At 43.7% G+C, this 12,778-nt stretch overlaps 1 long non-coding RNA gene across 1 annotated transcript; it reads right to left on the bottom strand.

Moving 5' to 3' along the window:
- Positions 1-1,014: 1,014 nt before the first annotated feature.
- LOC105370017 (uncharacterized) lies at positions 1,015-6,344 on the bottom strand. Its single transcript, XR_001749169.1, has 3 exons — positions 6,247-6,344; positions 2,987-3,087; positions 1,015-1,246 (listed from the first exon to the last, which is right to left on the bottom strand). It is a non-coding gene; the product is annotated as an uncharacterized LOC105370017 (long non-coding RNA).
- Between the last annotated feature and the right edge of the window lie 6,434 nt (positions 6,345-12,778).

Here is a 12,778-nt window from a genome sequence, read left to right as displayed (position 1 = left end):
TGGACTTTAGTTAATAATAATGTATCAGTATTGGTTCATTATTTGTGAGAAATGTGCTATAGTAATATAAGCTATTAATAATGAGAGAAACTGAGTATGGGAGATATGGGAACTCTCTGGAATACCTTCATAATTTTCCTGTAAATCTAAAACTATTCTAAGAAAAAAAAGTTCTACTAAAAATAACTTTTTGAGGATAAAGGGGAATAATTTTTTACCAAGAGAAGGCAATACACTGTCAGCTAAGGATACAGCCTACATCTGAAGTGGGGCCCAAATCATGGTCTCTCCCAGAGGAACTATCTCTTGTGGAACTTCAGATGAGCACTCGGCCATAGAGTCTGAAGATGGGAATGCAAGTCCTTCATCTTTGTGACCTTGAGCAAAGTCACTTGGCCTCTCTGAGGCTGAGTTATCACCTGTAAAATGGGACCAAGAACACTCACATACTTTCCTGAGATGCTCTAAGGTTACTCATAACAGCAGGTACAATTTACAGAGCACTTACTAGGTGCCCAGCACTAGAAAAAACTTTTATCATCTCATTTATTTCTTACAATGCTCCTATGGAGTAGTTACTATTCTTAAGCTCATTTTATGGATAAGGAAAATGAGGTTAACTGAGATGGAGCAACTTGTCCAGGGCTATATGGCTAGGAAGACTTGATGGCCAAGAAAAGACTTGATGGCAGGCTGTCCCCAGAGCCCATGAACCTAATTATGACACTATGGTTCCTTTAATCAAGAGACATGAGACTGTATGCTCAACAAGAACAGAAATTGTAGCCTGTTTAGTTCACAGCTATGTTTCCTTTCCTGGGCACATAGCAGATGTTCAGCAAATATTTATCAAGTGATTCAATGTTGAGTAAGTGAGTAAATGGATGGGAAAAAAAATTATAAACTGTGGAAGCATATATTTTCATGAAAATTATTACCACTTGTATTAGTGATGTATTGCACCACCCCAAACTTGGCGGTTTAAAGCAATGATAATCATCTATTACCTCTCACTCTTCCTGTGGGTCAAAAACTTGGTTCTGCTTTGGGATCTCTCATGTGGTTGATGTTAGCCAGGGCTGCAGTCATCTGAAGCTTGACGAGAACTGGAGGATCTGCTCTCAAGGTTGTTCATCCATAGGACTGGCAAACTGGTGCTGACTGCTGGCAGGAGGCCTCAGTTCCTCTTTGTATGGATCTCTCCACAGGCGTGCTTGAGCATCATCACAGCATAGCGGCTGGCTTCCTTCAAAGCAAGCAATTCCATAGACTATGAAAGAGGCTGCTGTCTTTCTTATGACCTATCCTTGGAAGTCATACAAGTTCTAATGGTCCAGTGGTGTAGCCCTCATTCAAATGAGGAGGAAACTACAAAAAGTCATAAATGCCATGCATTAAGGATTACAGGGGGCCATCTTGGAGGCCACCATTCATCTCTTAGATTTGAGTCTTGAAGTTGAAGTTCTCTGAATTGCACTTCTAATATGTAATTGTGATAAAGACAGAATACCTCACTTCTTCCCAGTTCATCCCTTTAAGACCAGCACAAGCTTATACAAGGGAGATAAGGGCTATCAATTTACTGCAAAAAAATTCTTTTTGTTTAACCCAAACATACAATTTCTGGTGATATATCTTGGGATCCAAGTCAGTCTCCTCCTGGCTTGGCCATGGTAACTTCTCATCTCTACTCTTGTTCCCCATATGGAAACATTAAAATGGCTCTAAAAGCAGGGTAATGAAGGTGTGACATCTTTGGATTGATGAGGCAAATTCTAGTGGAAATGCATTCTGAACAAACTGAAAAATGGAAAGAGATTGTCTCTGAATCCTTTTTCCTCTCAGTCTCTCATCCTTACTATCTTTCAGTAGACCCTGTCTTCATCCTTCATCAACCTGGCCCATTTCCTTCTGGATAGTATGTCTCACTAATCTAGGTTTAGTGTGTCTCCTTAGTGGAGCAATGGCATTGTCAGTCATTGACACTTTAGTATGAATTATGTCCTGTGACTCCAAGTCCTATACTCTTTACTTGATGCCCGTCATGACTCCCCTTGTAATATACCACCATGTTTTCTTTTGTTAACCATCCTAAAGTGGCCGAAAAAGAAGCAGTTGGCTAAGTAGAGGATTTCATATATGTCTCCACCTATACTTCCTTGCTTCCTTGACTTCTCTGGCCAAAGCTTTCTTCAGCTGTGCTCTGGGTAACCAACATAGAACACAGACCTTACACTGGTTATCTGCCCTTTCAGAACTACCATCTGCTCTTCTCTGCCCTGCTCTGTCCCTAGGAGGCTGATCACTATGAACCACATGAAAGTCCAGCCTTGTCCTCTAGCTTTCAGTTGGGTTAGAGCAATGAGAGGCAGCAGCAAGAGAATAGGTGGGGAAGGAGGAGGAAGATATTTCTTCCCTCTGCTCCCTCCCTGCCAGGCTATAGTTTTGGCAATGGTTGTTTGCCTACCTATGGCCATGGCTCCTGTCAGGTGAGCTCCCTTGCACAATCACAGGTCATGTGGAGGGTTCCAGAAACACCACTCCTTCCCTGGCCCCTTTAGATCTGGTGTATTAGTAGCTCGCCTCTGATGCCAGCCCCTCGGTGCTTTACCATTCCTTGGTTGTCTCCTTGAGCCTGCCCCTGTCCCTGCCCCTGTAAATAGATCCATAAACTTTTCTTGTCTTTTTTGAACGTACCATCTGTTTCCTGCTGGGACCCTGATGAATACAGATCCCCTTTCTCATTCCAACCTGCCTCTTTGTTCTCTTACTTGGCAACAACTGCAGGAATATGCTCCCAAATTCCAGAATGTAGCAGCCACATCAACTAAGTGTTAAGAAGTTTTGCCAAAGCACTGGCGCCTATAGAGAGGATGCATTAGAAGGTGAATAAGGTAAATGCTTCAGGAGAGATGCATTCTAGCTGCTGAATGTGGTGATATTGAAAGAGAGAGTGGAGCTGAGTGGGAAGAGAAATTTGGCTCACCTGTCTGTGAAGATTGGTCCTCCACTCAGATGGAGGCAACTGCTGCTTTCTTCAACCTCATTCTGCAGAAACAATTGCTGCAGGTGTTGGAGAAGGTATATCTAGAGCAGAGACCATGTATCATTTAGGGAAGATTCCAGAGACAAAGAGCCAAAGGTAAGAGATGTAGGGGGTTAAAATCAGCCATCTTCATATCCTCACTTAAAAAATATAGTGTGTGAATAGAAAATTTGAGGTGTGTGAATCCAATAGATCAAGGGATGACTGCCATTGAAAAGATAGTTTGCTACTCACAGTTCCCAAGAGGAGGATGTGTGCCACTGGGCAGTGGGGGGCACATGGAGAAGCATTAACCTTGGTCAGGAGGCAAGGGAGAGAGGGGAAGCTGTGGGCCAAAGACTTTGTTGTGGTATCACAGGCAGGAACAAGCAAAGCAGGGTAAGCATGCTTATTTTTGGCTAGTTTGAATAATTTCGGCAGTCTCTGCGGTATAGGGGCTGTCCCTGGTTGTGTGGTACCTGGCCTTGGGTAATTATAGCAGTGATCCCAGAGTATGAGAGACTGATACAGGAGGTGGTTGGAGTGTGGGCTCTGGTGGTTGGTTTGCAGATGAAAAGCATGCTCAGTAGCCTAGTTGTTTACTACCTGTAATAATTGGCTAACCCTGGGAAGGGCAGTCCCTAAGGGTCAGCAAGGCCTCAGAAGTCAAAGCATCAACATACGGAAAATAAAAGGCATGGTTAACACACTCCAAGATTACTTTTCCAAGGCTCTTGCACCCCGAATGGAAAATCTAGATCTGTTGAAAGGCAGCCAGGGGCCATACAATATTTCAGACAGGGAAACAGTGGCATAATATAGAGACTAGGGTCCAGGACTCACCAGGCCTAGTGGAAGTTCTGATGGACAGACTCACTCTTATTGAGTAAGCTGCTTTCCTCCCACCTCAAACCCCATCTTCTCTCCCCTCTGTCCACTCAGCAGTGATGGATAGTCTTATGTTTGGGGTCTCCCAACATCCATGTTTCCTTTCCAAACAGTAGCCTAAATATCCTTTCTGAAGCCAGCACTCCCCTCTTCTCAGCCATATTATTTGGGTAGACTGGCTTCAGCCATTAGTATAGCCCACCTCCTGGGCACATGATTGGTTTAGGGATAAATACATGTAGCCAGCCTCAAGATCCATGAGTTATTGGAACATGTTTGCAGAGGTTCTTAGGAAAGAAAAGCTTTCTCTCTTTTCCACAGGCACTATTAGAAAGAACTGTCCCTCATCCCTCAGACAACACGGTGGGAAGAACTCTGACAACCATCCTATGGCTGCACAAAGGAGATCCTGGAGCCTGGGAAGAAACAAAGTACCTGAATTCTTGGTGACATCCATTGTGCTGCTACAATAAAGCCAGCCTGCATCTTGATGCACCTCTGGACTTTTCAATTACCCTAGGCAATAAATTCTCCTGATTGTTTAAGTAAGTGTGAATTGACTTTTATGTCACTTGCAACATAAAGTCCTGACTGATGCACCATCCACCTCCAAAATCCAGCTCTGAATGATTCCTTACCCCCTGCTGTGGCCCCAGAGCCACTCTACTCCCCCCAGTGCTTCCCTCCTCTTGATGCCTCCAGCTTGTGCTTGGTGGGGACTCCCCTTTCAAAGACTCTTGGGTACATGTCCTACCCACATATAACCAGCACCTTCCTCTGGCTTAAACCCCTTCATTGTTACATAATTAGTGTGTACCTTTCCAGCTCCACCTGCTGTACCAGTGAACCTCATGAACAAGGATGATATTTGGGGTGGTGGACTGTCACTAAGGGGAAGGTGCACTGGACTGGGAGTTAGGTCTTGGTCCTATTTCTGACCTTCATCTACTGTGTGACTTGAGCTAGGTCCCATAACCTTCTCAATGTTCTTATCTAAAAAATGAGAGTTGGAACAAGATTTGTAGGTTTTCAATCATGTTCTTTGAGATCCTAGCATTCTAAATGGCTGTCTCCAGGGCCTCTGTGGAAAAATGGGGATTGACTAGAGGTGTAATGCCCACCCATATTTTCTGCTCACTTTCAGCCACAGCTGCTTAATGAAAAAAATTAAAAGCCACTAGAGAAAATGATATCTAAGAGCTTAGGGTAATCATCAAGGCTGTTTCCCAAGAAATTCTGGTTCTCTTTCCAGGCACATGTTAGGATTACTCTGCTTCACCCTCTTGAATTTATGTATTGCCATTTGCTCATTTCAGCTAATAAAATGTAAGTACAAGTGATATATGCCATTTTCAGGTGAAAGCTTTAAAACAGAGCATGCAATTCAGCATATCACCTTTTCCCTGCTATGGAAATGATTGTGAAAACAGATCAACATGAAGCCTCGATTTGCCTATTTTCCTGAAAAGCTTTGAGCAAAGACCCCCCCACCCCCAAAACAAACCAGTATGCCTTTGTCACACTACATGAATGAGAAATAAAGTTTTGTTATGTTAAGACTCTGAGATTCAGGGTTATCTGTTTCTATAGCAACACCCAGCCTATCCTGACTGATATACAGATGGTGAAACTGGGGCTCCAAGAGGTTAAGTAAATTGCCCAGATTCCCACAGCTGGTAAGTGGCATGGTCAGGACCTATACTCAGACCAATAATAATAATTGCCTCCATCGCATTTAAGAATTGAACCCAGTCATGTCTGAAGCCAGATCCTACGAGCTCATGAGAGCTGACTGTGGGTATCTCTTCTCAAGTTCATATTTAGCGACTTCATATGGTAGCTTGAAATTGACCGTGGTGGTATTTATACCATGGATATGAGCACATGCTACATACAATTCAGGGCTTTTCTGTGGGAGTCCTGATCTGCTAAATTTGTTCATGGAAATTCCCGGAAGCTCATCGAGGACACCTTTTGGGATTCCGTAAAGTATATTTCATTAATGAGACAGAATCTGCAGTGAGACTAGCACCATGCAATGGAATCACAAATTGAGTTGTTAAGAGAAAGAAGAGAGAAGGTGCTCTGCAGGATGGCTAAAAAGTATGCTATGAGAGCAAGAGGAAGAAAAAAAATTCCGTGGAGGAAAGAAAGATCTTCCAATAAAAAGAACAGAGATTTTAATCTTTGCAGCACACATTTTGTCAAGTCTGCATAATTCATGAAACACAAGAACATCCGGAGGACAGCTGAAGTTCAGGGCAGAAGATCAAGTTGACAAGATTGGCTTTGGGGTAAAACAAGCGGATGGGGGCTTGGCTGTCGGAACTGACCTATATTTCTCTGTGTTTACTCTTCGGCAGGAGCTGTCACTGTTCATCCATCACCCCGGCTAGGCTGCACCCGAAGTCCAGTTTTCCCTAGGGGCCTTTGGAACCTGGAACCACAAAGATGGCAATTGTGTAGGGTTCTGGTCACTGTTCCCACATATCCACACCACTGTAGTCATTGATAATGACAGTAACTCTGCCACTTATAGGCAGGGTGACCTTGTGCAAGAGATCTTACTCTGTAAGCCTCAACTTAGTCTTTGTAAAGTGGAGCTGATAAGAGCTCCTAAGTCATAGGGCTGCAATGCACAGTGCCTGGAATATAGTAAGTAGTTAATAAATTAAATACCTAATAAATATTGGTTATCAACTTTTAGTACTACAATAATTATTATATCTAATAATGCCAGCACATTTTAAGAGCTTTGCTTAAAGTACATTTTTTAATCATCACAGCAAGCTTATGAGGTAGTACTATTATTGTCCCCATTTTCCAGATGGGGAAACTAAGTCAGCAGAGGGAATGTCATTTGCACAAAGTAAGTGGTAGAGTCAAGCAGTTACAGAGCCCCTGCTAAGTGCAAAGCAGTTTATAAATATTATCTCATCTCCGCCAAACAACTTTGAGAGTTAGGGATTATTGTTTCCGTTTTAAAGATGAAGAGATGGAGGCTCACAGAGTTAAATTAGCTAAGCCCAGAATACCAAGCAAGTAAGCAGCAAAGTGGGAATGCAAGCCTAGGTCTGTCTCTTAGCGCAGGTTTCATTCAACCACCTTTCGTTCCCACAAATATTTCCCAGAAATAAAAGCAGCCACACTTACTTTTTTTAAAATTATAATAGAAATGTTTATTTTATATGTTGTGATCATGTAAAACTTGGAAAATAAAAATAGAAACAAATTCAAATGACAATTTGTAGTTTTTTAAGGTGCTTCTATATACACTGTCTTTTCAAGAAACACATTTTTGGTTTTTTTAATTATTATGCTTTAAGTTCCAGGGTACGTGTGCACAATGCGCAGGTTTGTTACATATGTATACATGTGACATGTTGGTGTGCTGCACCAATTAACTTGTCATTTACATTAGGTATATCTCCTAATGCTATCCCTCCCCCCTCCCCCGACCCCACGACAGGCCCCGGTGTGTGATGTTCCACATCCTGTGTCCAAGAGTTCTCATTGTTCAATTCCCACCTACGAGTGAGAACATGCAGTGTTTGGTTTTCTGTCCTTGTGATAGTTTGCTCAGAATGATGGTTTCCAGCTTCATCCATGTCCCTACAAAGGACATGAACTCATCCTTTTTTATGCAGCCACACTTATTAAGGCTAATTCATATTTATTTCATTTAAGATATGCAAGACACTAGGTTAAGCCTTCTACAAGCATTCTCTTCTATAATTATCTCCACAGCCCCAGGCAGTGGGTATTTATCTTCATATGACAGAGTTGAAAACTGAGGCACATAGAGGTTTTACTTGGCCAAGGTCACACAACTAGAAAGTGGCAATCTGGGGAATGACTCCAGAGCCTCTTCACTAACCACTGGGATGTATTCTGTGAAGCTATAGGGTCTACTCAACAGACATCCTCCACCTGCCATGAGAATCCCAGGTTCTCTCATTCCCTTTGACCAATATCTAAGCAGGTGTGCTGACGAGGGGATGGTTGGGGGGAGAGGTACTCAAGAATTAGAGAGAGAAATGTTGGGGGAAGGGGCAAAGTTAGGGCTAAACCTGATGGACAGAAAGCTAAACCAGGGGCCAGCAGTCTGGGCCAGCCCTCCGTCCCCTTCGTCTCCCTCCGCTAAACCCCCAGAAGGAATCCTAGGACCTTGCCAGGTGCATCCTGGAGGTCATGGAACTGCCAATTAAAGCAGGGTGGGGAGTTTAAAAAAAAAAAAAAAGAATCCCTTAGTTTCCTTGGAGACAGCGTGGCTCTCCCTGTGCTCCAGAGAGAGCAGCTGGGACCTAGGCTGGGGACTGGCAGAAGCGAGGGGAGGCCTCTCCTCAGCTTTCCGGGCTAGCAAGTTTAAAACAGAACCTTCTGAAATGACTAAATAAAGGTCGGTGGCTGCCGGCTGGATGGTCTTCCAGGCAGTGTCTGATACAGTCAAGACAGTAGCTGGAGGAACACTCAGCTCCATGAACACCACCTCCATGGGAGGCCGGCCTTGGAGGTGACCCAGAGGCAGGGCCCCCACCCAAGGAGGAAATTTCATGTCTTCTGTGGGCACCAAACTGAATGTCAATGTGGAGAAGAAATCAGTCCTGCACTGAGCTCACCCTCTGCAACCTCCAGACATGTTCAGGATGACTGCTGTGTCTCTTTCTGGCTTACATGCCTCAAAGGGCTCCCTGGTGTCTGCATGAAGCCTTGAAGTTCCTCATGTGGACTTTGGGACCCTGAGGAATCTGGCCTCTGCCTACCTTCCCAGCTTCATCTCATACCTGTCCTGCATCATTTTAGAAATGCTGCCCCTGCATGCAGGTGCCTGCCTACCCCGATCTGTTTCTCTTCTCGTGGACTATGTTCAGTTTCTCTGCTCCTGGACTTAGCCCCTGCTTCCTGGAAAGCCCTTTCCCTATTCCCTCTCATTGGCCACTAGGGTCCAGGAGGACCCTAATCATCCTTTAAAATTCACCCCAGACTTTCCATTCTTGTCCTCCTCCTCCAGTGCTGAATTAGGTGCTGTATTAGTCTCCGAGGACTGCTGTAAACACATTACCACAAACTGCTTCCTTGAAACAACAGAAATTTATTATCTCTCAGTTCTGGGGCCTAGAAGTCTGAACTCAGGACATCAGCAGGACCATGTTCCCTCAGAGGCTCTAGGGAAGAATCTTGGCTTGCTCCTTTCTAGCTTCTCGTGGCTGCTGACAAATCCTATCACTCCTGGGCTTGTGGCTACATCATTCCAGTCTCCACCTCTGTCTTCAAATGGCTGTCTTCTTTCTGTGTGTCTTTGCACCTTCTTATTAGGAGACCAATAATTGAATTTAGGACCCACCCTTATCCAGTATGACTTCATGTTAACCAGCTACATCTCCAAAGACCCTATTTCAAATAAGGTCACATTCTTAGGTTTCCAGGAGGATGTGAATTTGGGGGAATACTATTCAACCCAGTACAACCAGTTTAGAGAGGGGAACAGTATTAGAGGCTGGGAAGATCAAGGAAAGGTTCAAAGAGAAACTAGTTCTCTGAGGTTGAATATTATTTGCACAGGCAGAGTAAAAAAGAAAAGATATTTCATTTTGGGAAAACGGCTTGAGCAAACACCCAAAGGTGGGGAGCCAGTGACCCCTGTAAAACTTCCCCAGTAGGTTCAAGCTTGTGCCTGATAATATGTTTTCCCAAGGCCCTTGGGACTCCTCCCATTTGCTTCCCCTACTTAAAACAATCTGGCAGCAGAGGAGAAATACTCAACACCTTTAAACAGAATCCATCTGCTAATATAACTGAAAGCAATAATCTGTCACTTTGAAAGTATGAGCCAACATGTTTCTCAAGAACTATTCTATTCCCTGCAATAACATTGAGCCAGTAAACTGCTTTCTTTTCTCTCTCCCTCTTTTTCTCTCTCTCTTTCTCAGCTACGCATTTTCAAATAATCGATGTCAAGTCATCCTTGGAGTATTAAATAACCATGTAGCCCATGCAATTAGAGAGCAGGTACCTCATTAATGCCAAAAGACAAGAGGAAAAAAACTAAAACCCAAAGTAGTAGAAAGTAATGGAGTCAGATAGTTGGGGATTAAAATGCTGCCTTCATCACATACTGACTTGTGACTTTGTGACCTCTTAAACCTCAAATTTCTCAGGAGTAAAATAGAGATGATAATCTCATCATCCTCCCGGTTTGTTTTTGGATTAAGCAATATGATATATGTATCATGCCTGGCACAAAGCCAGAAACTGAATAAATCCTAGCTGATAATCTTTTTTCAATGATATTTTTAGTAATAATATTGTTATTGCAATTCCAAAATATATTTGTATTGTAAAATAAAGCAATGAGTACCTAATTTCATGTCATTAAAAATCAAGGTTTTCAGTTGAAAAGAGATATATGATCAAAGGAAAAACACTGTATCCTGATTTTGAATGAGAAATATCAGTATAAACTCATGATGTGTTTTCTCCTAAAAAGTATGCATTTTCTAACTGTCCTCTTAAAAGACCTAGAGCCAATAACAAACCCAGGAGCAGTGAGCACTCCCACCACCCAGATGATGGTCTCAAATACCATTTTCCCACTCAAAGAGGTCTGAGCTCCTTGGAGAAATGGCTGACTCTGGCTTTGAGTAGCAAATGTATAAGATAAGTCTGAAAAGATTATCATACCAAAGTATGAGAAAGCTGTTGATATATTAGGGTTATTTCTAGAGAACTCAAGGACCAACTTTAATAGTCTTCCACTAGCCAAAGATGAGATCATTTGAGCATCAAATGTCCCTGTATTTAAGTTCCTCCAGTAAACCCTAGGTCTCATTCACTGTCTCCAGGGCACAGTGCCATTTCAGTTGGAGTTGACAGGTGTTTGGTACAACACCTTCCTTGGTGCTGCTGTCTGAGTTAAGTCACCTCCTCTGATACCATTACATCTCTCTCATAGCACATCTTAAAATACATAGTATCTGGCAGGTTATGTGCCTGGTGCCTCACCCCCTTTGAGTCCCTGAAGAACAGAGGCCATGTCTTTTTCACCATTGTATCTTTATCATCTTGTATAGTTTCTTGCACATTGTAGGCTCACGGGGCTTACTAAATGGGTGAGTGAGAGAATGGAGGAATAACATCCTCCTCGTCGTTTTCATTTCATCATGGTACACACTTTAGCTCAGGTATCCTCTGAACTCTTCCTTTCTTCACTCCCTTGTCAATAACAACTTTCTTGCATGCTGCCCCATTGGCCTCGGGCCATGATCTTGGCAAAGAAGATGAAGAAGGACAATACGGTTTTGTCATCCAGATACTACCATTTAACCTATGTAGTTACTTGGTCTTCTGTGGCACCTAACACTTTACAAACTCCTTCGATAAGTATGAGCTCCTTACAACAGCCCTGGAAGGCAGGCAAGGTTACTCTTGGTATCCCCAGGATAGAAGTGAGTGAGTTTACATAGATAACTCATGATGTCTGTCCCATCCACAGCACCTGTTTTGGCAGCCCCTGCTGAAGAACTGGCCACAAGTCAATTGGCCACTCATGTTGTATGCTAGGGGCCTGACCCTTGGCCAGAATTCATTGGATCAGAACTGTACACTTGATCTAAGTGAGCCAATCAGGCTGTCTCTTGAAAATGTAAACTGGAAAAGAAAGACTTCCTTGAAGGTCATTTTGGCATTTTTGGCACTGAGCAGTGTGCAGACAGAAGCAGAGAGGAGCCACCAGGAGGTCTCAGAAAGAGATAGAAAGAATAGTCTCCATGACTTCTGAGCTCTCTGTAGTACCCAGTGGAGTTTCTTGTGAAAACCAGCTCTGATTCCTGCCCTTGGATCTCAGGAATCTCTTTAGTGTCTTTCTGATAAAGCTCTCATTTCACTAGAGTTAATTTGTGTAGGCTTCTGTTCCTTGTAAACAAATAAGACATGGCCCAGACAGGGATATAAGCAGAAGGAAGAACATCAGGCTAGAGATCAGAAGACCTTAGTGGCTTTGCACTGAGTAACTGTGTGACACCAGGTAAAATATTTCATCTCTCAGAACCTCAGTTTCCACTCTTGTAAAGTGAGAATGCTGACAATACCTAGCATACAGGAGCAATTGAGCAACACGCTTAACAGCATTTTGTTGCTATATAATTACTAAGTGAGTTAACTTATCCACGATCACTATAATGGCGGGAAATTCAAGCATCATAGTTGGCAAGCCATAAGAGCTGCTAGGGAGAGATTGAGCATTGTTCAACCAGAAGTCACTTTGTACAACAGCCTCCTGGGAGTGGAGCTGCCTGTGGACACTGCCCTGAGTCAGGAGGAAGGGTACGATGACTTTGAGCACACCCTACCCGGAAGTCACCAGCTTCCAGGAGACAATGGCCTGAAGAGAAAGCCCCAGTCACCCCAGGGGAGGCAGGGAAGCATCTACCTCTGGCTCTATCTCTAGCATCATTCTTTCTCTCTGGGTCTCTGAGTTCTTAGGTCAGGGATGGTGTCTCTCTTGCTAATAGCCCTGTCTCCAGAAGCACACAGGCTTGGCACACAGTAAGTGAATGAATGTCTCCGTGTCCCTGTCTGTCTCTATGAGCCTCTGTTAGCTGTTTTTTAATGTGGCCCTCTTGCTCTCGCTCTCTCTCTCTCCTCTCTCTCTCTTTCTCTCTCTCCCTCTCTCTCTCTCTCTGCCTCTCCCTGCTCTTTGTCTCTCTCTTATCTCTCCCCTCTGTCTCCCTCTGTCCTCGGTGTCTCTCTCACATCCTCCTCTGTCTCCGCCCCACCTCACGGCACACGTACTCACACCTGCCCCAGACCTTTCCCTCTCCTGAGCTCCCTTTGTCTTGGTCCCTCTCCCGTTGCCTGGTAACAGCC

This window comes from Homo sapiens, chromosome 12, assembly GCF_000001405.40.
Source record: "Homo sapiens chromosome 12, GRCh38.p14 Primary Assembly".
NCBI lineage: Eukaryota > Metazoa > Chordata > Mammalia > Primates > Hominidae > Homo > Homo sapiens.
This window is presented reverse-complemented; position numbering and strand designations above follow the sequence as displayed.